This window comes from Homo sapiens, chromosome 14, assembly GCF_000001405.40.
Source record: "Homo sapiens chromosome 14, GRCh38.p14 Primary Assembly".
NCBI classification, from domain to species: domain Eukaryota; kingdom Metazoa; phylum Chordata; class Mammalia; order Primates; family Hominidae; genus Homo; species Homo sapiens.
This window is the reverse complement of record NC_000014.9, coordinates 70,931,411-70,959,275: the sequence shown is the minus strand read 5'-3', so window position 1 is coordinate 70,959,275 and position 27,865 is coordinate 70,931,411. Positions and strand designations below refer to the sequence as shown.

Genomic DNA, 27,865 nt, shown 5'->3' with positions numbered 1-27,865 from the left:
TTGTGCACATGTACCCTAAAACTTAAAGTATAATAATAATTAAAAAAAAAAAAAGATAACAGGAACCCAGATTTACGGGGAAAAAACCACACACCAAATTTCACAAAACTTAGAAAATGCTACATAAGGTTCCTCAGGAAGACAACTCTTAGAATAAGTCATAATCCTACTTTTTGCCCAGAGTTTTTTACTAATTCTACCTGGTATAAACAGAGTAAGTAGTCAATAGTCTATATATAATCTTTTTTTTTTTTTTTTGCTATTATCTGGATAAAAGTTACAATATATGTGTTGGACATTACAGAGGATATATCTTGCTATCTGGCATCCAATTCAACCTCCTGATTATGTAAAAAAAAAAAAAAAAAAAAAAAAAAGCAACCCCAAATTCTTCAGGTGAACCACCTCATCTCAAACTCTCATAGGTTTTTGGGTAATGTTGACCCCACCCTCAGGTTTAGGGGTGGGCTCTACTGTCCAGTCATCAGCATATCCCATTGTTCTGGTCATTGAGATTAGCTCTAGAATAAGCACAGGACCCAACCCAGGCTAGTTTGAATCAGGCCAGGAGTGTCTTATTGGTGGGAGGAAATTTCTCTATATCTGCTACTCTTAATGTTGAGACTTAAGGCCTGGAGGTGCTGCAGCCATCTTATAACCATTAAGGGGCAGCCTGTTCTAAGAAGCCAAAATAATAGAAAAGAACAGAGACTGGCGAGAAGAAGAGAAGCAGGGACATGAAGTGACAGTTTGAAACGTTGCATCCTGACACATCTGAAGACATCCCTCATGTGCAGACTTTTCAGTAATGTGAGTAGTAAATTCCCTTAAACTTTTTTGGGTATTCTGACAGCTGCAATCAAAAGATATAGGCAATATATAATTTTCCATTTAAGTATTTAACATTATAGCAGTTTGAACTCTAGTGTGTTTTTATTATCAATTATCTCATAATTATAATGTCCCTGTTTGCGTAACAGGTTCCTAACTCTAAGCCATTGACTACAGTAGCTAACTAAGGTTCAACAAAGAAAACTAGCTTTCTAACTTACTATCCATTTATAAAAATAAAATATATTGGAACTCAGGTAAACATATGGCCAATTCAGTATACAAATACTCATGTGTGAGAAATGTAGAACATGTTCATGTTTATAAGCTGTCTGGTGTTAACTCATATAAGCTATGTAGGACAGAGGAGAAATTTTTCTAAATTGGAAAAACTTTAAGTATGTATATAGAGGCACTATCACCACATTAAATTAGTAATGAATATTCAAATATTCAGCAATATTATGGTTTCTCCACTAGAATGCATCCTCTAAGTGAGATCCAAAGAAAACAGAAGATGGAGAGCAAAGTACAGATTAAGAAATAACAACACAGAAAGGAGAGACAGCCCTCATCTTGCCTAGTCTCTCTCTCTCTCTCTATATATATACACACACATACATACACACACACATATACATACACATATGTCAACTTTATTGAAATATGATTCACATATCGTACAGTTCACCCTTTTAAGCTGTATAATTCAATGGTTTTTAACGTATTCATTAAATTATGAAACCACCACCAAAGCCAATTTTAGACCACTTTTATCACCTCAAAAACAAACCCCTTTAACCATTACTACCCGTCCCTTTCCATCCTCCTTAGCCCTAGACAACCATTAATTTACATTCTGTCTTTACAGATTTCCCTGTCCTGGACATTCTATATAAATGGAATCATATGTGATGTTTTGTGTCTGGCTTCTTTCACTTAGCATAATGTTTTCAAGGTTCATCCACGTCGTAGCATGCATCAGTATTTCATTCCTTTTTATAGCCAAGTAATATTCCACTCTATGGATAAACCACATTTGTTTATCCAGTCATCAACTGATGGATAATCTTGCCTAGTTTTATACATCACTTTTGATAGCAAGTCCAAATTATTACAATCTGAACATACAGTTATTATTAATAATACATAAAAACAGGCTGGGTGTGTGGTTCATGCCTGTAATCCTAGCACGCGGGAGGCCAAGATGGGCAGATCACTTGAGCCCAGGAGTTCGAGACCAGACTGGGCAACATGACAAAACCCCATCTCTACAAAAACATTACCCAAGTGTGGTGGCATGTGCCTGTACTCCCAGCAACTCAAGAGGCTGAGGTTAGTAGACAGATTTAGCCCGGGAGGTAAAGGCTGCAGTGAGCTATGATTGCACCACTGCACTCCAGCCTGGGCAACAGAGCAAGACCCTGTCTCAAAATAATAATAATAATAATATAATAAAAACAAATATTTACTCAGTACTTATTATATCCAGTCATAGCAGTACGTGCTTTATTTGCATTTTCTGATGAAACCTTCCCTAATATTTATGATATGATTCTCCTCTTACAGTTATTATTCTCCTCTTACTGTTGAAAAAACTGAAAACCAAAAGGCAAAAAAACTTGCCTAACGTCTCAGAGGAGGAATGAAACATAAACTGAGTCACTGGTACCTGGAGTTCACGTGGGAGGGGAGGACAGAAATAATACCTCCTCAGCATTCTGCAAATAAGTTATCATATCTGTTCTTTCTTTATTTCCCACACACTTGAACACACGTACTCATAACCAGCATGGCCTAAGATAAGGCTCAAAAACCAGGTCTGTGAAACCCTAAAGCCCACATTCTTGCTTTTTTTGTGTTTTTGTTTTGTTTTGTTTTTTTAAGAGACAGGGTCTTGCCCTGTCAGCCAGGCTGGGGTGCAGTGGTGCAATCATAGCTCACTGCAGCCTCAAACTCCTGGGCTCAAGTGATCCTCCCACCTCCGCCTCCTGAGTAGCTGGGGCTGCTACATGCCCATGCCACCACACCCGGCTAATTTTTTATTTATTTATTTATTTTTTTGGTAGAGACAGAGTCTCACTGTATTATCCAGGCTGGTCTCAAAACCCTGGCCTCAAGGGATCCTCCCACCTTGGCCTCCCAAAGTGCTGGGAATACAAGCGTGAGCCACTGCGCTTGGCCCTTATTCTTTCTAAGAAAACATACTGCCTTACACCAAATAGGCACTAGTCTCTTTCCAGGTCAAAACCGAAAGTAAACACCATTATTTAGAGCAGGGATTTTAAAACTCAGTACTATTGACATTTTGGGGGCAAATAATTTTTGACTGCATTGTAGGATGGCTAGCAGCATCTCTGGCCTTTACCCACTAGATGTCAGCAGCAGCCCCTCAGTGTGACAACCAAAAAAAGCTCCAGACATTGCTACATGTGCCCTGGGGGACAAAATTACCCCCAGTTGAGAAATAATGATTTAGAACTAATGGTCAACAAACAACAATGTGTGGGAAGAAAGGAGATATCAAAGGAATAAAAATGATGAAGAGAAAAAATGAACAGGGGTTTTCATTTAAAAAAAAAAACCCTCTAGTAAAATTTCTGCACTTCTTTCTTCTCTATAAATTCAGAAGTAAAACTCTTAGCCAAGCTGTAGATGTTCTAAATATAGCTAAACATATAAAATAGCTGAGTAAGAGTTTTCTTTATTGGCAAGACTTGCAGGTTTGCAGCAATGGAGATTTCAGCACATACCTGGAAAGCATAGTAGTTTATAATTCTCACAGTAGCAAAGTGGTCTACTGCAGTAAGCAATACAACAAATTCAGGTAATATCTACCTTTATGCCTTAACTTCCCCATCTGTTAAGAAAAAAAACAAACCAGGTACAGGGAAAGGCAGAAAAGCAGAAGGGATCTAATCTGAATTACAGAGAAGTCTTCACAAACTAATTTGTTGATTATTAGTATCATATTTATTGCTCATGCTCTCAGGCTTTGATCAGAAACTTTGCAACACCATTACAATACCAAGTTTGTAAATCTGGAGTAAAATGATGCTCATAAGAATAAGGATAAAAACGAAGTTCCTATATTCACAGGAACAAAGTTCCTAAACAAAATAATCTCTCTCAGAAAACAGCCTAAAATCCAGCTTCATACAGTTTAAATTGATCCGTAGTTTACAATATCATAAGCATTACTGCCATGAGAAACATACAGAAACCATGATCTTTCTTCAAATGTTTGTATTCAAATCCTAAAATTCAATGTTACTTCCTGAAGCATTAGAAATATAAAAAAAATTAGTGACTGATTCTTTCTCTAAAAGATTGAACCATTTTTTACCTGCTGTACCACATAAAAGAGAGACCAATGAAAACCATAAAGCTCAAGTAGTTCTGCTATATTTATTCATTCACACAACAAACTGAGAGCCACAATGTACCACGCACAGTGATAGGATCTAGATACACAAGTATTTATTTTCCTATTCATTTCTTTTCCTCAGAACAGAACATGAGATTCACAAGTGTGAGGGTGAGGAAAGGAGATGTCAAAAACAAAAACCTACAACAAAGATCTTACTTACTAGTGAAACTTAAAAATATTAAAGATTAGAAAAAAGACAAGGATGTACACCAATAATACTTCAATTTAACCATGTGCTACATATCATAGCCAGTGAAAAAAATTAAACAAGAAGTATAAGGACTAGAAAGTAAGAAATAATTGTGATCATATAGACAAGGGAACATCATTAATAAGGGGGTTTAATAAGATTGCTAGACACAAAATAAACTGCGACATTTTAGGGGGAAAAACAAAATTATACTAGCATAAATACTATAAAATCATAAATTTCCTTTTAATGGAGAAAATGAAAAACTATTACTGAAAGGTATTTAAAAAGACTAAATAAATGGAGAGATTCAATATTGTAAAGATGCAAATTCTCAGCAGAGGGACCTACAAATTTAGTGTAGCTCCAATAAAAATACCAAGTTCCTATAGACTTTCTCTAGCAGACTCTGAAGTTTACATCAAAAATCAAAGAGCCAAGAATAGCGAAGTCTCTCCTAAAAAAGAATATGGTAGGAGGTTTAACCCACTGGCTATCAAGAGTCATGTTTTAAAGCTGATAAGGATGGTATGGTAATGGCACAGGCAAGCAGATCAACAGAACAGAACAGAACAGAACAGAGAGCCCAGAAACAAGCCACCAGAAATGAAAATTTAGCTTATGCCATAGAGACTGCTGCAAATTACTAAGGAAAAGATAGTCCACTTAACAAATACTGGGTAAATCAGAGATTCATAAAGAAAAAAATAAGCCTTAAGAACCTACCTGATACTACAGACTTAAATAGCTTTGGGTAGAATTGAAATGTGAAAACAAAAGAAACATGAAACTTCAAAAAGACAATACAGAATACCTTTCTGATCTCCGTGTAGAAAATAATTCAGACACAAAAATGCTAGCCAGGCGCGTGGATCACGCCTGTAATCCCAGCACTTTGGGAGGCTGAGGCGGGTGGATCACCTGAGGTCAGGAGTTTGAGACCAGCCTGGCCAACATGGTGAGACCCCAACTCTACTAAAAATACAAAATTAGCCAGGTGTGGTGGCACATGCCTGTAATCCCAGCTACTGAGGAGGGAAGGCAAAAGACTAGCTTGAATCCAGGAGGCAGAGGTTGCAGTGAGCTGAGACTGTGCCACTGCACTCCAGCTTGGGCGACAAAAGTGAAACTCCAATTCATTAAAAAAAAAAAAAAAAAAAGAAAGAAAAAAACACAAAAAACAAAAAACCTGATTACTAAAAAGTGGTAAATTTCATTGTTCTAAATTTAAGAGTATATGATAATCATAAGAAACTTTAAGGAAAGCAAAATGACAAGCCACAAGTGGGAGATGACTGTAATATATACATAACTAATAAAGGAATAGCATGAATATATAAAAAAATAAAAAATTCCTATTAATCATTAAGAAAAAGACAGCTCCAAAGAAAAATGAAACAAAACATAAATGAGCATTGGAAAAAAGAAAAAACCTAAATGGACCATATATAAAAAAATAAAATGTTTAACCTCAGTAGTAATCAGAAAGCTTAACTGAAAGTCACAATGAGACACCTTTTACATTTCATGAATGGCAAATTTTTTCAAGACAGGGTCTTGCTCTGCCACCCAGGCTGGAGTGCAGTGGTGTGATCAAAGCCCACTGAACTCTTGAACTCCTGGTCTCAAGTGATCCTCCTGCCTCAGCCTCCCAAGTATCTGGCACTACAGGTGCACACCACCATACCTAGCTAAAATTTTTTTTTATTTTTTATTTTTTGTAAAGACAAGGTCTCACTATGTTGCCCAAACTGATCTGGAACTCCTGGCTTCAAGCTGTCCTCCCATCTCTCCCTCCCAAAGTGCTGGGATTACAGGCAGGAGCCACCTTGCCCAGCCAATTTTCTTCTTTTAAATCCCAAATCAATAGCTAAGTGAATGGAAAATTTTTAAGGTTTACCAATATCAAATGTTGATGAAGATGTGAACAATAAGGACTTTCATACACTACCGGTGAGAGTATAAACTGGTAAAATCATTTTGGCACACAGCTTGGAATTGCCTGATAAAATTGAACATGAAAATGCCCTATAAACCAGCTTACATAAACTAGATATACACATGTACCACAAGACAAAAAACACTAGAAATAATCTGAATGGCTATAAATAGAAGAATGAATAAATAGACTATGGTCTATTCTTACAGTGGCAGACTACATGTAGGTCAATATGAATAAACTCTAGCTACAAACATCACCATGCGTGAGTCAATAAAGTATAATATACTGTGCAAAAAAAAAATCTCTCATAGAGAAATGCATACTGTATGATTCTCTTAGGATGTCCTAAAGCAGACAAAAATAAATAAATATATTCAGGAATATCTACGAAGAGTGTGTAACAATAAAGAAAAGCAAGGGAGTTATTCACAAAAAATTCAAGATTATGGTTACTCCTGAAGGGAAAAGTGGAATGAAATGGGAGAGGAATGTCATGAAGCTTATATGGTATTTTTATAATGTTTTATTTCTTAAGCTGTGTGGTAGGTAATGAAGTAGTCACTTGATTATTGCTAACTTAGTGTTTGGAATACATATTTCACAATAAAAAATTTTTAAAGTAAAAGAAAATGGAAAAAACAATTCAGAAGCAATGACAAATATATATAATATCCAGAAATAATTAGAACAATTATCAAGTGTTACCATGTGTCAGGAATTATTCTAAGAACTCTCTATATATTATTTCATTTATTCATTGTAATAATCCTATGAGAGAGTTCCATTATTTTCCTCATCATTCTGACAAGAAAGCCAACTCAAAAGCTTAAGTAGCTTCTCCAATGTCTTACAATTAAGAAGCCTTGACTGACTGAGTGTGAAGTCTACATTCTGTCCACTTATCCACAATGTACGAATATGCATTTCTTAACAGAAATAGAATAGGCGTAGGAAATGTACAGAAACCATTTAAAAAATGTGAAAGGTTATAAGACATAAAAGATAAGTGAATAAAGAGATGATAAATAAAAACATAAGAAAATAAATGGAAATCTCTCATCTATATCCCTATTTTAAAAGTTGAGTTTCTACAATTTAATAGAATTGTCATCAAAATTCTAACGAAATTTTCTGGAGGATAAGCACACATGAAGATATCTCACAAAAGTAAGTATATGCATGAGAATAATCAAAATAATATCAAAAAAGGTCAGGTGTGGTGGCTCATACCTGTAATCCTAGCACTTCAGGAGACCGAGGCAGGCAGATTACCTGAGGTCGGGAGTCCAGCACCAGCCTGGCCAACATGATGAAACCCCGTCTCTACTAAAAATACAAAAATTAGCTGGGCGTGGTGGTGCATGCCTGTAATCCCAGCTACTTGGGAGGCTGAGGCAGGAGAACCGTTTGAACCTGGGAGGTGGAGGTTGCAGTGAGCCGAGATCGCACCACTGCACTCGTCTGGGCAACAGAGCAAGACTCCATCTCAAAACAAACAACCAACCAACCCCCGCCCCCCAAAAAAATAATAATATCAAAAAAGTAAAATACTGGAGTCACTCACAATGCTAAGTATTAAACATATTATAAAGCCACTATGATAAAAACAGTATGGTATAAATGAAAAAAGGCAGAAAGATGAAGCAGAAAACTAAGTTCAGAAACTAGCATAAGTATATACAGTATACTACATGAAAAAGAAAGCATCTAAATTTACAGGGAAAAAATTTGTTACTTAATGAATGGTGTTGTGATAAACAAACCTAAACAAATTAAGTTAAAATGTTTTCAAACTGACAACAATTTAAGAGTAAAAAGTAAAATGATAAAAATACTGAAAGTAGATACAAAGATCTTAATTTATTGTATATTTATATAATTTGAGGGAAGGAAAATCTTAGAAAACGTTATCAAAAGCAGAAATAACAAACACACAAAATTGGACCACAGAAAAATAAATTACAGGATATAAAGACACTGACAAATAAAATGCTATAAACTGAGGAAGAGTATTTGACACAGAAGAGCTAATATATTTTATTTAAAAAAAGTTCCAAAATCAATAGCAAAAAAAAATCCACCAATAGAAAAATATACAATTCACAGAATAACAAATATAAATGGCAATAAGAAAAATACCTCCATTTCACTAGTAATTCAAAAACGGGAATATTAAACAATAATTTATTTACATATTAAACAATATTAAACAATGAGATATCACAGTTTTTCAAAATACTAAATACTCAAGAGTTGTCAAAAGTGCAAAAAAAAGAGGCAGCTGAATTTCTGGTCATAGTCATTAAATGGTAAAATCTTGGGAATTTGGCAATACATATTGGAAAACTTATAAATGTGCATAGCATTTCTAGTAATTCCACCTCTGAAAAACTATGATAGAACATTTAATCATTGAAAATTTAAACATCACAGTTATCTAATATTTAAATTTCAAAATGATTGATATAATTTAAAATAGGATAAAATACATTGGCATAATGAGATACTGTGCATCATTAAACATAATATCACAGAATAATCGTTTTCACTACTTCAAATATTTGCTGAGTACCTATCATTGCCAGACACTGATTTTGGAACTGGGAATATAATAGTTTATAAGAACAATAAGGTCATTACCTTCAAGAAGTTCATCAATGCAAATAAATGTTAAGATAATTTCAGATAGTGATTAAGGCAATAAACAAAAATTATGAGGCTAAAATACGTGTTTAATTAACAAACAGGGTACTCATGTTAAGAATAAGGAAAAAAATGTAATTGAAAAGGAATAAACAAAGGCTTTCAATGCCCTGGAAAATATACAGAAATATCACCTGTCTTAAGAGAGGAGTGCCCACTTTTTCTTACATTATTTATGTCTTGATGTCTGAAATATTTCATATTATGCTCAGTGGAAACAACTGCTTAGATTATTTGATCTTTCTCAACTTGGTTTCCACATCTGTAAATCAGGGATAATAACAGCATCTACCTGCTAGAATTGTTTTGAGGTATGTCAAGTGTTCACAAATTTTCCAAGAGTTATATTAGGGGTACCTATTAATTTCTGTAAGGTCACAAACTTTTGACTATGAATAAAGTAGACACTTCTGTCAAATAGGTAAAGTGGAAAGTGGGCAAGGCCAAGGTCATGCTACAGAATGTGACTGAGCAACAGGGGGATCACTTCAGCTGGGATGGGAAAGGAAAGCCTCCAGGAGGAGTTGACATCGAATCACAGTTGAATCCTAAGAAGTCAGTCTTGCAAAGATCTAGGAAAGAAACAGCTAAGTTTCTAAGGTAAGAATATACAATTCAAACAAATTTACAATAGGTTAAGTAAAGTATACTACTTATAAATGTCAAGTAAAATATCACAATTTGCTTAAGGTGTGTGTGTATATATATACACATGCGTATGTGTATATTATACATATATACACATATATACGTGTATATATGTACATATATATGTACACACACACACATATGTATATACACGTATGTGTCTATATATGTATATATGCACGTGCGTGTATGCACGTGCGTGTATACACGTGTGTATCTACACACATATGTGTGTACACACGTGTGTGTATACACGTGTGTGCATACACGTGTGTGTGTATACACGTGTGTATATACACATACATATATCTATATATACATGTGTATATACACACTATGAGTAAATGCTGAGATGTATAAGCATTTATAAGTATATATACACATATACATATGTGTATATGTACATATATACACATATACGTATATACATGTATGTATATATACACATGTATATATACACGTCTATACATACATATATCTATATATACATGTGTATATATACACACACATTTTATTTATACGAGTAAATAAAAATGCTGAGATTTATAAGCATTTATAAGTGTATATACACATATACGTATGTGTATATGTACATATATGTACATATATACACATATATACGTATATACACGTATGTGTGTATATATACACATATCTATATATACATATGTGTATATATACACACATACATTTTATTTATACGAGTAAATAAAAATAAATGCTGATTTATAAGCATTTATAAGTATATATACACTATACATATATGTGTATATGTACATATATGTACATATACACATATATATGTATATACACTTATGTGTATGTGTGTATATATACACGTGTATATATACACATCTATATAGACACGTGTATATATACACATCTATATATACACAACTATATATGTGTATATATACACATCTATATATACACATATCTATATATGCATATGTGTATATATACACACACATACATTTTATTTATATGAGTAAATAAAAATAAATGCTGAGATTTATAAGCCATGCTGAATAATTTCTTTAGGCTGCTGGTTTTGGTCTCTAGTGTAAGTAACTATCATACAGTAGTGTATTTATCAGGGGAACCAGCCCCCAATATTTCAACGTAGGTTCTTTTCTATTTTCCCTAAGTGTTGGCCGGTCTGAGAAATAAAGGGAAAGAGTACAAAAGAGAGAAATTTAAAACTGGCTGTCCAGGGGAGACATCACATGTCGGCAGGTTCCGTGATGCCCCCTGAGCCACAAAACCAGCAAGTTTTTATTATGGATTTCAAAAGGGGAGGGGTGTATGAATAGGGTATGGGTCACAGAGATCACATGCTTCAAGGGCAATAAAATATCACAAGGCAAATGGGCAGGGCAAGGTCACAATGCCAGGGCGAAATTAGAATTACTGATGAGGTTCACTGTCCCGCTATGCACAGATTGTCATTGATAAACATCTTAACAGGAAACAGGGTTCAAGAGCAGAGAACCAGTCTGCCTACAATTTCGCCAGGCTGGAATTTCCCAATCCTAACAAGCCTGGGGGCGCTGCTGGAGACCAGGGCATATTTCATCCCCTATCCACAACTGCGTAAGACAGACACTCCCAGAGTGGCCATTTTAGAGGCCTCCCCCTGGGAATGCATTCTTTTCCCAGGGCTGCTCCTTGCTAAGAAAAAGAATTCAGCGATATTTCTTTTATTTGCTTTTGCAAGAAGAGAAATATGACTCTGTTCCGCCCAGCCCGCAGGCAGTCAGACTTTATGGTTATCTCCTTGTTCCCTGAAAATCGCTGTTATCCTCTTCCTTTTCTAGGTGCCCAGATTTCATATTGCTCAAACACACATGCTCTACAAACAATTTATACAGACAACGCAATCATCACAGGATCCTGAGACGAGATACATCCTCAGCTTAAGAAGAAGACGGGATTAAGAGATTAAAGGACAGGCATAGGAAACTATAAGAGTACTGATTGAGGAAGTGATAAATGTCCATGAAATCTTCACAATTTATGTTCAGAGACTGCAGTAAAGACAGGCGTAAGAAATTATAAAAGTATTAATTTGGGGAACTAACAAATGTCCATGAAATCCTCACAGTTTATGTTCTTCTGCCATGGCTTCAGCTGGTCCCTCTGTTCGGGGTCCCTGTCTTCCCGCAACAGTACTGTTCTAACCTGTCTAGTAATGAGGCCAAGAATATTGATTTAATCCCCCAAACACACCAGTTAGCTTAGCTCTGTTCTAATATTAAAATATGTACCCATCATTGTATCTACAGTGGTAAGATCTAACACTGCCTTAAAACCATATAAAGAAAACAAGTACAATATAATAATCACATCATTATACAGATAACACAATCTAAATCATTACGATCAATCAATGACATAGGTTTCCTTACCTCGGTCCATTGCTGTCTTTTCTCCTGGTTGAACAGTTGCCTTGTTCAGCTTTGGTTCGCTGATCCGTGAACTCATTTGCAGTCCTATCTACAACTTCTCCAGCATCAAGTGCTCTGTGTAGTCGATAGTTGACCATCTTCAGAACAATGAAAACAGCAGCTATCACAGGACAATAAACTGCTACTATAATCATGGTAGAAGGAAGGGCCTTTAAGAGAAAGAAAATAAGGAAATACATTTTAAAATATTTTATATCGTATTCAATTAGATAAATCTGTATCTAAAATAATAAACACATTTACACACAAAGCAACAACTATGTTACTAGCGCTAAGCTGCAAAACTTAGCAGCTTCAATGCCCAATGCAAAAGACACTAGCTACATGTGGCTACTGAGTAACTGAAATATGGCTAGTTTGAACTGAGATGTAAAGTGAGAATAAACACTGCATTTCAAAGATTCAATATAAAAAATGTAAAATATCTCAATTTTAATGTTGATTACATGTTGAAATAATACTTAGATTATACTGGTCAAATAAAACATTATTAAAATTAATTTCATGTGTTTCTTTTTATTTAATGTGGCTACTAGAAAATGTTAAATTACATATATGGCTTGCCTGCATTACATTCCCACTGGACAGCACAGGTATACAGTCCATGCCAAAAGCCTTATCATACAATTGGAGAACAAAGGTATCACATTACAGTATATGTGAAGAAATCAAGGTTGTGATCCAAATATAATGCCTCTTTATGGGCTCTGTGCAACCGTTTTTTAGGATACATTCTTCGTATTCCAGAAAATTGGAAGTTAAAACTGTCATGAGAATGACCTTAGAACTGTGACTGTAAAACCAGGTAAGATATGGAAGACATGCAAAATCCAGGTGGGTTTTATTTTAAAATAGTTAAACATTTAAAATACTTAAAAATTGTGGCCTGCCAAACAAAAAGAATAAAAGAACACAGGACAGAATCAAGTAACAGATTAAATAAAATAAGTCAGCCAAACATCCTGGGTGTGGGGCTGAAGGCCCATCACACAGGAGGATTCAGTGATGGGGAACTTGAGTCCACAGGTGGCAGGCTTGGAGAACAGCTCACTGGGAAGGCAAGGCCTAGAGTCACTACTGGCAGAGGTAATACAACTAGGCTCAACTTATCCCAATTTCATGAGAAAAATCACCCAGACATCTATAGCTCTAGATCCCACATGTTTTCACAAGATTCAATCTCAGTTATCTGAGAACATGACCCCAAATTGGCTTTAAAAGAGTAACCTCTAGCCAGGCGTAGTGGTGGGCACTTGTAATCCCAGCTACTTGGGAGGCCGAGGCAGGAGAATCACTTGAACCTGGGAGGTGGAGGTTCTAGTGAGCCAAGATCATGCCACCGCACTCCAGCCTGGGTGACACAGTGATACTCCATTTCAAAAAAAAAAAAGTTAACCTCAAATCACTTGAGACAAAAATAAAAAGGTCTTTATGGGCCAGACAGGTTTAGAATACAGGTATGATCAAATTTCTTTAAAAAAAAAAGAAAAGTTTTTGAGAGGGAAAGAGTGTGGGTTGAAATTAGGATGGAAAAACATAAAGTCCACAAATTAATAATTTTGTGTTGAGTGTCGGCATAATAGGTATATATTAAATATTTGTTATTTTTAAATACTTGGATTAAGAAGTCCTGCATATTAATGTATCTAAAAAATTAAACTTCTGATTCCAACTTAAAATGTTACTGAATAACTGGTTTGGGCTTATAATTTTAAGTTGGGAAATATATTTAGAAGTTTACAAAATGCATAAATATCAGATTTGGAAGAGTTGAGTACCTGTATGATATTGTGAAATATGTATTTGGTCTTCATCCCCATTTTCTGGCAAAAACTCTTAAAATCCTTGGAATCTCCAAACTGGTGTCTTTTTGTTCACTATTAGCTTGACTGGTGCCTGGGGACTCCTGGATAGCCTCAGGAGCCGGGGCTGGTTTCCAGGGGAACCAACCTCCTGATTAGAGGGTTGGACTGAAGTCCCAACTCTCAACCTCCAGGGAGGGAAGAGGGGCTGTAGGATGAGCTGAACACTGTATTAGTCCACTCTCATGCTGCTATGAAGAAATACCCAAGACTGGGTAATTTATAAAGAAAAGAGGTTTAATTGACTCACAGTTCCACATGGCTGAGGAGGCCTCAGGAAACTTACAATCATGGCAGAAGGCACCGCTTCACAGGGCAGCAGGAGAGAGAAATGAATACCAAGCGAACGGGGAAGCCCCTTATAAAACCATCAGTTCTCATGAGAACTCACTGATTATCACAAGAACTGAAGGGCAGAAATGCCCCCATCATTCAATTATCTCCATCTGGTCCTACTCTAGACACATGGGGATTATCACAATTCAAGGTGAGATTTGGGTAGGGACACAGAGCCAAGCCATCATTTCACCCTGGCCCCTCCCAAATCTCTCATCCTCACATTTCAAAACACAATCACGTGCTGCCAACTGTCCCCCAAAGTCTTAACTCATTCCAGCATTAACTCAAAAGTCCAAGCCCAAAGTTTTATCACAGACAAGGCAAGTCACTTCCACCTATAAGCCTGTAAAATCAAAAGCAAATTAGTTACTTCCTAGGTACAATGGGGATACAGGCAATGGGTAAATACACTCATTCCAAATGGGAGAAATTGGCCAAAACAAAGGGACTACAGGCCCCATGCAAGTCCAAAATCCAGCAGGGCAGTCAAATTTTAAAGCTCTGAAATGATCTCCTTTGACTCCATGTCTCACATCCAGGTCACTGATGCAAGACGTGGGCTCCCATGGCCTTGGACAGCTCCATCCCTGTGGCTTTGCAGGGTACAGCTCCCCTCCTGGCTGGCACATGGGCTTGCACTGAGTGTCTGTGGCTTTTCTAGGCACATGGTGCAAGCTGTTGGATCTACCATTCTGTGGACTGGACGACAGCAGCCCTCTTCTTACAGCTCTGTTAGGCCATGCCCAGTGGGGACTCTGCATGGGATGGGTCCAACCCCACATTTCCCTTCCACAGTGCCCTAGCAGATGTTTTCCATAAGGGCTCCACCACTGCAGCAGACTTCTGCCCAGACATCCAGGCACTTCCATACATCCTCTGAAATCCAGGCAAGGGTTCCCAAACCTCAATTCTTGGCTTCTGTGCATCCACAGGACCAACACCACATGTAAGGCACCAATGCTTGATGCTTGCACCCTCTGAAGCAACAGCCTGAGCTGCACATTGGCCCCTTTTAACCACAGGTGGGATGCAGGGTACCAAGTCCAGAGACTGTGCAAAGCAGCAAGGCCCTGGCCTCGCCCAAGAAACCATTTTTTCCTCTAGGCCTCTGGGCTCGTGATGGGAGGGGCTGCCGTGAAGACCTCTGACATGCGCTGGAGACATTTTCACCATTGTCTTGGTGATTAACATTTGGCTCCTCGTTACTTATGCAAATTTATGCAGCTTTCTTGAATTCCTCCCCAGAAAATGGGGTTGTGCTTTCTATTGCATCATCAGGCTGTAAATTTTCCAAACTTTTATGCTCTGTCACCTCTTGAACACTTTGCTGCTTAGAAATTTCTTCCACCAGATATCCTACATCATTTCTCTCAAGTTCAAAGTTCCACAGATCTCTAGGGCAGGAGCAAAATGCCGCCAGTCTCTTTGCTAATAAAGCATAGCAAGAGTCACCTTTATTCCAGTCCCTAATAAGTTCCTCATGTCCATCTAAGACCATCTCAGCCTAGACTTCATTGTCCATATCACTATCAGCATTTTGGTCAAAGCCATTCAACAAGTCTCTAGGAAGTTCCAAACTTTCCCACATCTTCCTGTCTTCTTCTGAGCCCTCCAAACTGTTCCAACCTCTGCCTGTTACCCAGTTCCAAAGTCACTTCCACATTTTTGGGTATCTTTTCAGCAGTGCCCCACTACCTGGTACCAATTTACTGTATTAGTCCATTCTCATGCTGCTATGAAGAAATACCCGAGACTGGGTAATTTATAAGGAAAAGAGGTTTAATTGACTCACATTTCTGCATGGCTGGGGAGGCCTCAGGAAACTTACAATCATGGCAAAAGGCACCTCTTCACAGGGCAGCAGGAGAAAGAAGTGAGTACCCAGCGAAGGGGGAAGCCCCTTATAAAACCATCAGATCTGGTGAGAACTCACTATCTCAAGAACAGCATGGGGGAACCACCCCCATGATTCAGTTATCTCCACGTGGTCCTGCAGTTGATATGTGGGGATTATCACAATTCAAGGTGAGATTTGGGTGAGGACACAAAATCAAACCATATTAATCACCAAATGATGTAATCAATCATGACTACATAATGAAGCTTCTATAAAAACCCAAAAGGCTTGGACTCAGGAGCTTCATGATACCTAACACATGGAGGTTTCTGGAGGGTGGCATGCCCAGAGACAGCATGGAAGCTCCAGGGCCCTTCCCACATGCCTTGCCTCATGCAACTTTTCATTTGTATCCTTTGTATTAATAGTATCTCCAGGTAGACAGTGTCAGAATTGAATTGAATTGGAGGATACCCAGCTGGTATCTGCTGAAGCACCTGCTGCAGAAATTGGTTGACTGCTTGGTGTGTGGGGACACCCCCACACATCTGCTGTCAGAAGTGTTCTGTGCTGTGATAGCATAGTAGGAGAAGAGTTTGTTTTTTCTATAGCCTCTCAACTTGCAAACATTTGTCAGATAATTTAAATCCTTAAAAATGAATACTAAATTTACAAGTGCAATTTGATAAGGTCTTTATTTAAAAAAAACCTTTTTAATTATTGTTAAAATATGTTAGACCTGTAAAGAGTTGAGTTTAAAATTCTTAGTTGTAAGATGGCCGAATAGGAAAAGCTCCAGTCTACAGCTCCCAGCGTGAGCGATGCAGAAGACAGGTGACTTCTGCATTTCCAAATGAGGTACAGGGTTCACCTCACTGGGGCCTGTCGGACGGTGGGTACAGCCCACAGAGTGTAAGCCAAAGCAGGACTGGGCATCACCTCACCCGGGAAGTGCAAGGGGTTGGAGAATTCCCTTTCCTAGCCAAGGGAAGCTGTGACAGATGGCACCTGGAAAATCGGGACACTCCCACCCTAATACTGTGCTTTTCCAATGGTCTTAGCAAACAACACACCAGGAGATTATATCCCACGCCTTGTTCGGAGGGTCCCACGCCCACAGAGCCTCGCTCACTCCTAGCACAGCAGTCTCAGATCAAACTGCAAGGCAGCAGTGAGGCTGGGGGAGGGGCGTCCGCCATTGCTGAGGTTTGAGTAGGTAAACAAAGCTGCCAGGAAGCTCTAACTGGGTGAAGCTCACCGCAGCTCAAGGAGGCCTGCCTGCCTCTGTAGAATCCACCTCTGGGGGCAGGGCATAGCTGAACAAAAGGCAGCAGAAACTTCTGCAGACTTAAACGTCCCTGTCTGACAACTTTGAAGAGAGTAGTGGTTCTCCCAGCACAGAGTTTGAGATCTGAGAATGGACAAACTGCCTCCTCAAGTGGGTCCCTGACCCCCAAGTAGCCTAACTGGGAGACACCTCCCAGTACGGGTCGACTGACACCTCATACAGCCGGGTGCCCCTCTGAGACGAAGCTTCCAGAGGAAGGATCAAGCAGCAACAATTGCCATTCTGCAATATTTGCTGTTCTGCAGCCTCCACTGGTGATATCCAGGCAAACAGGGTCTGGAGTGGACCTCCAGCAAACTCCAATAGACCTGCAGCTGAGAGTCCTGACTGTTAGAAGGAAAACTAACAAATAGAAAGGACATCCACACCAAAACCCCAACTGTAGGTCACCATCATCAAAGACCAAAGGTAGATAAAACCACAAAGATGGGGAGAAACCAGAGCAGAAAAGATGAAAATTCTAAAAATCAGAGTGCCTCTTCTCCTCCAAAGGAATGCAGCTCCTCGCCAGCAATGGAACAAAGGGACAGAGAATGAGTTTGACGAGTTGACAGAAGTAGGCTTCAAAAGATCAGTAATAACAAACTTCTCCGAGCTAAAGGAGGATGTTCGAACCCATCACAAAGAAGCTAAAAACCTTGAAAAAAGATTAGACAAATGGCTAACTAGAATAAACAATGTAGAGAAGACCTTAAATGACCTGATGGAGCTGAAAACCATGGCATGAGAACTACGTGATGCATGCACAACCTTCAGTAGCCGATTCGATCAAGTGGAAGAAAGGGTATCAGTGATTGATCAAATGAATGAAATGAAGTGAGAAGAGAAGTTTAGAGAAAAAAGAGTAAAAAGAAAAGAACAAAACCTCCAAGAAATATGGGACTATGTGAAAAGACCAAATCTATGTCTGACTGGTGTACCTGAAAGTGACAGGGAGAATGGCACCAAGTTGGAAGACACTCTTCAGGATATTATCCAGGAGAACTTCCCCAACCTAGCAAAGCAGGCCAACATTCAAATTCAGGAAATACAGAGAATGCCACAAAGATACTCCTCAAGAAGAGCAACTCCAAGACACATAATTGTCAGATTCACCAAAGTTGAAATGAAGAAAAAAATATTAAGGGCAGCCAGAGAGAAAGGTCAGGTTACCCACAAAGGGAAGCCCATCAGACTAACAGCTGATCTCTTGGCAGAAACTCTACAATCAAGAAGAGAGTGGGGGCCAATATTCAACATTCTTAAAGAAAAGAATTTTCAACCCAGAATTTCATATCCAGCCAAACTAAGCTTCATATGTGAAGGAGAAATAAAATCCTTTACAGACAAGCAAATGCTGAGAGATTTTGTCACCAGGCCTGCCTTACAAGAGCTCCTGAAGGAAGCACTAAACATGGAAAGGAACAACCAGTAGCAACCACTGCAAAAACATGCCAAATTGTAAAGACCATTGATGCTAGGAAGAAACTGCATCAACTAACGGGCAAAATAACCAGCTAGCATCATAATGACAGGATCAAAATCACACATAACAATATTAACCTTAAATGTAATTGGGCTAAATGCTCCAATTAAAAGACACAGACTGGCAAATTGGATAAAGAGTCAAGACCCATCAGTGTGCGCTGCATTCAGGAGACCCATCTCATGTGCAGGGACACACATAGGCTCAAAATAAAGGGATGAAGGAAGATCTACCAAGCAAATGGAAAACAAAAAAAACAAGGTTGCAATCCTAGTCTCTGATAAGACAGACTTTAAACCAACAAAGATCAAAAGAGACAAAGAAGGCCATTGCATAACGGTAAAGGTATCAATTCAACAAGAAGAGCTAACTATCCTAAATACATATGCACCCAATACAGGAGCACCCGGATTCATAAAGCAAGCTCTTAGAGACCTACAAAGAGACTTAGACTCCCACACAATAATGGGAGACTTTAACACCCCACTGTCAACATTAGACAGATCAACGAGACAGAAAGTGATCAAGGATATCCAGGAATTGAACTCAGCTCTGCACCAAGTGGACCTAATAGACATCTACAGAACTCTCCACCCCAAATCAACAGAATATACATTCTTCTCAGCAACACACTGCACTTATTCCAAAACTGACGACACAGTTGGAAGTAAAGCACTCCTCAGCAAATGTAAAACAACAGAAGTTATAACAAACTGTCTCTCAGACCACAGTGCAATCAAACTAGAACTCAGGATTAAGAAACTCACTCAAAACCACTCAACTACATGGAAACTGTACAACCTGCTCCTGAATGACTACTGGGTACATAACAAAATGAAAGCAGAAATAAAGATGTTCTTTGAAACCAATGAGAACAAAGACACAACATACCAGAATCTCTGGGACACATTTAAAGCAGTGTGTAGAGGGAAATTTATAGCACTAAATGTCCAGAAGAGAAAGCAGGAAAGATCTAAAATTGACACCCTAACATCACAATTAAAAGAACTAGAGAAGCAAGAGCAAACACATTCAAAAGCTAGCAGAAGGCAAGAAATAACTAAGATCAGAGCAGAACTGAATGAGACAGAGACACAAAAAACCCTTCAAAAAAAATCAATGAATCCAGGAGCTGGATTTTTGAAAAGATCAACAAAATTGATAGACCACTAGCAAGACTAATAAAGAAGAAAAGACAGAAGAATCAAATAGACGCAATAAAAAATGATAAAGGGGATGTCACCACCTATCCCACAGAAATACAAACTACCATCAGAGAATACCATAAACACGTCTACGCAAATAAGCTAGAGAATCTAGAAGAAATGGATAAATTCCTGGACACATACACCCTCCCAAGACTAAATCAGGAAGAAGTTGAATCCCTGAATACACCAATAGCAGGCTTTGAAATTGAGGCAATAATTAATAGCCTACCAACCAAAAAAAGTCCAGGACCAAAGGGATTCACAGCCAAATTCTACCAGAGGTATAAGGAGGAACTGGTACCATTCCTTCTGAAACTATTCCAATCAATAGAAAAAGAGAGAATCCTCCCTAACTCATTTTATGAGGCCAGCATCATCCTGATACCAAAGTCGGACAGAGACACAACCAAAAAAGAGAATTTTAGACCAATATCCTTGATGAACACTGATGCAAAATCCTCAATAAAATACTGGCAAACCGAATCCAGCAGCACATCAAAAAGCTTATCCACCATGATCAAGTGGGCTTTATCCCTGGGATGCAAGGCTGGTTCAATATACACAAATCAACAAATGTAATCCAGCATATAAACAGAACCAAAGACAAAAACCACGATTATCTCAATAGATGCAGAAAAGGCCTTTGACAAAATTCAACAACACTTCATGCTAAAAACTCTCAATAAATTAGGTATTGATGGGACGTATCTCAAAATAATAAGAGCTATCTATGACAAACCCACAGCCAATAATCATACTGAATGGGCAAAAACTGGAAGCACTCCCTTTGAAAACTGGCACAAGACAGGTATGCCCTCTCTCACCACTCCTATTCAACATAGTGTTGGAAGTTCTGGCCAGGGCAATCAGGCAGGAGAAGGAAATAAAGGGTATTCAATTAGGAAAAGAGGAAGTCAAATTGTCCCTGTTTGCAGATGACATGATTGTATATTTAGAAAACCCTATCGTCTGAGCCCAAAATCTCCTTAAGCTGATAAGCAACTTCAGCAAAGTCTCAGGATACAAAATCAATGTGCAAAAATCACAAGCATTCCTATATACCAATAACAGACAGAGAGCCAAATCATGAATGAACTCCCATTCACAATTGCTTCAAAGAGAATAAAATACCTTGGAATCCAACTTACAAGGGATGTGAAGGACCTCTTCAAGGAGAACTATAAACCACTGCTCAACGAAATAAAAAAGGACACAAACAAATGGAAGAACATTCCATGCTCATGGATAGGAAGAATCAATATTGTGAAAATGGACATACTGCCCAAGGTAATTTATAGATTCAATGCCATCCCCATCAAGCTACCAATGACTTTCTTCACAGATTGGAAAAAAACTACTTTAAAGTTCATATGGAACCAAAAAAGAGCCCGCACTGCCAAGACAATCCTAAGCCAAAAGAACAAAGCTGGAGGCATCATGCTACCTGACTTCAAACTCTACTACAAGGCTACAGTAACCAAAACAGCATGGTCCTGGTACCAAAACAGAGATATAGACCGATGGAACAGAACAGAGCCCTCAGAAATAATACCGCACATCTACAGCTATCTGATCTTTGACAAATCTGACAGAAACAAGAAATGGGGAAAGGATTCCCTATTTAATAAATGGTGCTGGGAAAACTGGCTAGCCATAGGTAGAAAGCTGAAACTGGATCCCTTTCTTATACCTTATACAAAAATTAATTCAAGATGGATTAAAGATTTAAATGTTAGACCTAAAACCATAAAAACCCTAGAAGAAAACCTAGGCAATACCATTCAGAACATAGGCATGGGTAAGGACTTCATGACCAACACACCAAAAGCAATGGCAACAAAAGCCAAAATTGACAAATGGGATCTAATTAAACTAAAGAGTTTCTGCACAGCAAAAGAAACTACCATCAGAGTGAACAGGCAACCTACAGAACGGGAGAAAATTTTTACAATCTATCCATCTGACAAAGGGCTAATATCCAGAATCTACAAAGAACTTAAACAAATTTACAAGAAAACAATCAAACAAACCCATCAAAAAGTGGGCAAAGGATATACACAGACACTTCTCAAAAGAAGACATTTATCCAGCCAACAGACACATAAAAAAATGCTCTTCATCACTGGCCATCAGAGAAATGGAAATCAAAACCACAATGAGATACCATCTCACACCAGTTAGAATGGTGATCATTAAAAAGTCAGGAAACAACAGGTGCTGGAGAGGATGTGGAGAAATAGGAACACTTTTACACTGTTGGTGGGACTGTAAACTAGTTCAACCATTGTGGAAGACAGTGTGGCAATTCCTCAAGGATCTAGAACTAGAGATACCATTTGACCCAGCCATCCCATTACTGGGTACTTAGCCAAATGATCATAAATCATGCTGCTATAAAGACACATGCAACACGTATGTTTAATGCAGTACTATTCACAATAGCAAAGACTTGGAACCAACCCAAATGTCCATCAATGATAGACTGGATTAAGAAAATGTGGCACATATACACCATGGAATACTATGTAACCATAAAAAAGGATGAGTTCATGTCCTTTGTAGGGACATGGATGAAGCTGGAAACCATCATTCTGAGCAAACTGTCGCAAGGACAGAAAACCAAACACCAGATGTTCTCACTCATAGGTGGGAACTGAACAATGGGAGCACATGGACACAGGGTGGGGAACATCACACACCAGGGCCTGTCGTGGGGTGGGGGGAGGGAGGAGCGATAGCAATAGGAGATATACCTAATGTAAATGACGAGTTAATGGGTGCAGCACACCAACATGGCACATGTATACATATGTGACAAAGCTGCACGTTGTGCTCATGTACCCTAGAACTTAAAGTATAATAAAAAATAAAAAATAAAAATAAAATTCCTAGTTGTTTAATTTATAGCTTTAATAAATCTAATATTCATTATGAAAAACAAAATACTCTGAATAGCCTTTTCTGAGCAAAATAACCACTCTCAAACACACAACACAAACTGCTTTGATACATATAAACACATATACATCTCAGAGAATTTAAAAAAATTGTGTGACACTGGTTTCCATCTGAAATACTGGTCATAAAAACCAGAATTCCTGGAAATTATTTAGTTCAATACCTTCATTTCCAGACAGGAATTTTAATGACTTAGCCATGATCACCCATCTTAATATCAATATTAAGCGAGGTTTCTTATGCCTATTTCAGTGCCTATTTTGCTATATACCACACTGCCAATTCCATTTTCAAATGTAAAATGTCAAAAAATAAAGAGTTCCACTGTAATTCACTGTAGTCCACATTAAGATAAAAACGATTGATATTAATTAAGTGGACAGAAAGGCAACAACCCCAACATTATTACTCAGTGTTAGACAAATTCATCGAAAATATTAATGGCTCTGCCAAATAGGAAAAGATAAAACAGAGTACTTAACACTGAATGGTCTACAGGATCTGCCTCTACAAAAAGAGTCAAAGATCATGAATGCTTAAAACACACCTAAATAAACTCTCTCCCCCTACTATTATATTGCTAAGAGCAGTGGCCAACTGGGTGCCAAAAACACACTGAAATGTGCAAGATGTACATATTAAGTGTAGAACTTCCTTTTAAAAGTAGGGACAGTGTCTCGCTATGTTGCCCAGGCTGTTCTCAAACTCTTGGCCTCAAGTGATTCTCCCACCTCAACCTTGCAAAGTGCTCGGATTACAGGCATGAGACACTGTGCCCAGCTCAGAATTTCTTTTTTAAGAGCACTGAACAGAGAAAAGACTTTGAACAAAATAAAAATTTAGGTGACCATTACATACTGGAAACCAGTACCTGATGAACGATACTTGTATTTTCTATTCAAATTACAAAAGTTACACATTTATTTTCCACTATCTGATCTAAATGCATAAGCCCTGCCAGTGATTACTCTTGAGGTTTCTGGGTGACAAAGGACAGCTGTGCTGTAACAGTTTAACTTTTCCCAAAGGGGGTAAAAGTGCATACACACCGGTCTGTCTGGTGACTTAGTTTAAACTTATTCTCTACTCTACTTGGATTACTTCACTGGACTCTCAGCTGATTCCAGAGCAGCTGACAATTATTACCAGCAGATCATAATAGATCATAAACCCTTCCTGTAATTGTGATTCACATTGTCATGCAACTTATCTGCAGAACTTTTTCGTTTTACAAAACTGAAACCCTCTATCTATTAAACAACAACTTCCTTTCCCCTATGCCCTGGCAACCACCACCTACTTTGTGTTTCTATAAATCTGACTACTTTAATGTTTTATTTTTTCAAGTCCAAAGTGAGCAAGAAGATCTGGGAAAGTTTGGAACTTCCTAGAGACTTGTGTAATTTCAATGTGAATATTTCAACACTGACACTACTGAAGAGTATACTTAAAAATGGTTAAAATGTCTGTACCCAGTGGTTATGACTGTAATCCCAGCTACTCACAGGAGGCTGAGGGGGGAGGATCAATTGAGCCCAGGAGTTCAAGTCCAGCCTAGGCAACATAGTGAGACCCTGTCTCTGAAACAAAAATTTTTTAAATGGTTAAGATAATAAATTTTATATTATGTGTTTTTACCACAATTTTTTTTAAGCTAGATGGATAAATATTTCACTTTGTTTTCTCTCCAGTAAGGGAAGAAAACCAAATGTTGAGAAACAAGCTGGGAAACCGAGCCATTTACCCCACAGTTTAGTCTTCTTAAATTCTGACAGCTTATCCTTAACACTAAAAATTGCGCAATTTCATCCAGGAGTAATAGGTTCAAGCTATTCAAGATGCCAAATACATTTCTAATAGGACTCTTGAAAACGCCGCTTGGCATCACAGAAATGGTCATACCAGAATTATTACAGTCACGAGGTAACCTTATTATTTCATTTAAAAACTCAAGTGAATAATTTGGCTAGCACTTTGCAAGGTAAAAATGCAATCTTTTATACAATACTCCTTTCCTTGTGCAGCAATGTAAAGGTTTTGTTTTGGATTGATAACTTTCACTATCTCCTTCACCACTGGCTCAAGATCTGGAAGTACATTGTAGCCAAAGCCTGCTTCCTTAATATACTTGTAGCTGTTCTCCAACAGAATGGATTTCAATGCATCTTTTCCAGTCTATGTTACAAAGTGATTATCAATTAAATCTAACACTTAATGTCAACTAACTTCTAATACTTAGTGATTATGATGTGCAAGGTATATTTTTAAGCACTTTAAGTATACTAACTCATTTAGCCCTCACAATCACCTCATGGCTCTATTATTCTTCTCATTTTCAAGATAGGGAAACTAAGGCACAAGACTAGACATTAGAGAGCAGTTTGGCTGCACAGTCAGGATCAGCAAACTTTTTTCTTAGGGCCAAAACAACATATACTTCAGTTTGTAGATGATCTGTTGGAACTACTCAACTCTACTGTTATAGCATAAAAGAAGCCATAGATATATAAACAAATAAACATGCTATGTTCCAATAAAACCTCATTTATAGACACAAATCCAAATTTCATATAATTCTCACACATCACAAAATATTACTTCTTTTGAATTTCTTTTCAAGCATTAAAAATGTAAAAATAATTCTTAGCTCATGGGGCATACAAAAACCTCCATGGGCCATAGTTTGCTGATCTCTACTCTAAATGAAAAATTATTTTCTTCTCTAACCAATAACCCAAACAAAAGGTCATCAAGCTCTTCTCCTTCATACATGCCAACTACAAATCTATCACCGCCAACACCACCAGTTTCTTCCAACAGTAAAGCAAAGTAGCTGCTAGTAAACATAGGCCAGTAATTGCTCTTTCATCATGTATGAAATCAAGGCACATTCAACAGTGGCATTTAGTAACAAAATTCTGAAAACAGCTCCTCTAGCTTGCTCTCCAAGCAAAATAATTATAATTAATTTTTTAAAGTAGTTTTACAATTTTGGATTATACCTTCATGTTTTTTGGTGTCTTCCCCCTCAGTGAGAAAATGTATCAGTTTACACTAGAAAACAATGGTTTAGGATTATTGTAAAAAATGCAATTGGTTCCATAAAAATCCCTAGAAAAATAATAAAAACTTCTTGGCCGGGCGTGGTGGCTCAAGCCTGTAATCTCAGCACTTTGGGAGGCCGAGGCAGGCGGATCACCTGAGGTCGGGAGTTCGAGACCAGCCTGACCAACATGGTGAAACCCCGTCTCTACTAAAAATACAAAATTAGCCGGGCATGGTGGCGCATGACTGTAATCCCAGCTACTCGGGAGGCTGAGGCAGGAGAATCGCTTGAACCCAGGAGACGGAGGTTGCAGTGAGCCAAGATTGCACCATTGCATTCCAGCCTGGGCAACAAGAGCGAAATTCCATCTCAAAAAATAAAAATAAAAATAAATAAATAAATAAAATTAGATAAATAAAAATAAAAACTTCAATAGACATGTCACTATTTGACATAAAAGGTAACTGACTAGGGACTAGGAACAGAGTCTGTTAGCACAATAAAGGAAAAATTTAAAAATAGATACAAACATGAAGCCTGTGTCTTACTGTCTCTCTAAAAAGGTAGATTAATTGTAAGAAAAATCATAGAAAGTAAAAATAAAACAATCTAGATCACCCTTTCAAAACACAAAGATACCCCGAAGTTTACATTTCTTCACATCTCCTTGTACTAGATGTTTTTCCTCAAAATGTTTAGCTATAAATGTATAACAAATAAATACAATTGTCTCTCCCCGGAAGCTGTCCTTTGCTGCCTTATATGCTATAGTTTCACATCCAGCTATTAGAAAAAGTTGAAAAAGTTTCGTTTCCAAATTTAAAACACTAAATTTATTTAGATTATTCGATTATTCTTTTTGTTTTTGTTTTTGAGATGGAGTTTTGCTCTTGTTGCCCAGGCTGGAGTGCAATGGCGCGATCTCGGCTCTCTGCAACCTCTGCCTCCCAGGTTCAAGCGATTCTCCTGCCTCAGCATCCCGAGTAGCTGCGACAGATAACAGGTATGTGCCACCACGCCCAGCTAATTTTGTATTTTTAGTAGAGACAGGGTTTATCCACGTTGGTCAGGCTGGTCTGGAACTCCCGACCTCAGGCGATCCGCCCGCCTTGGCCTCCCAAAGTGCTGGGATTACAGGCGTGAGCCACCGTGCCTGGCCCTAGATCATTCTTAAATCCCTGTTTCTCTTTGTGTGGTCTGAGATCTCTGAATGTTCCCAACTACCAAGTTAAGAAAACGGTGCTTCTAGTGAGCTATGGCAGAAACAACCACTAGCATATTTATTGCGAAAAACTGAACTTAATTTTTTTGGCTTTAAAGTTCTGTCTGTTCTGCTAATAGTATCTTGTAGAAAAAGAACTAAAAATTAAATAATACCAAAAAAATCTGGCAGATGAAAACAAAAATTAGCAGAATTTGAAAGCAGTATGCCTTATGCCCTAGACATGGGGAAAACACACAAACGGGCACACTAATCCTATCGTAAATTGTAAGTTCCATCCATCAGTATATCTGGACTAACTTTTCTTAACACTCTTTCAGGAGATGAAAACTAAACATTTGTAACAATAGCAGTGCTGCCTTCTTTCT

The 27,865-nt window shown here is 37.9% G+C and overlaps 1 protein-coding gene and 1 long non-coding RNA gene across 21 annotated transcripts in view; one reads left to right on the top strand and one right to left on the bottom strand.

The window, feature by feature from the left end:
• PCNX1 (pecanex 1) overlaps nucleotides 1-27,865 on the bottom strand; it is a 207,924-nt gene that overhangs the window by 156,107 nt on the left and 23,952 nt on the right. For 15 of the 19 annotated variants that reach the window (XR_245673.5, XR_007063992.1, XM_005267420.5 and 12 more), the window contains exon 2: nucleotides 12,153-12,361. Coding sequence is in view for 17 of the 19 variants with exons in the window: in XM_005267420.5 (XP_005267477.1) it covers nucleotides 12,153-12,361 (209 nt within the window). In the remaining 2 variants the exon portion in view is untranslated. Of the gene's footprint in view, nucleotides 1-12,152; nucleotides 12,362-13,990; nucleotides 26,668-27,865 lie in introns of those variants that run through there. The other 4 variants (XM_005267424.4, XM_047431123.1, XM_047431125.1 and 1 more) reach the window with 1 other exon arrangement.
• On the top strand, nucleotides 724-27,212 carry LOC105370557 (uncharacterized). 2 transcript variants are annotated; one of them, XR_944008.3, is made up of 3 exons: nucleotides 724-810; nucleotides 9,518-9,696; nucleotides 27,177-27,212. It is a non-coding gene; the product is annotated as an uncharacterized LOC105370557 (long non-coding RNA). The 2 variants fall into 2 exon arrangements; XR_944006.4 differs by lacking the exon at nucleotides 27,177-27,212 and adding an exon at nucleotides 12,939-13,444.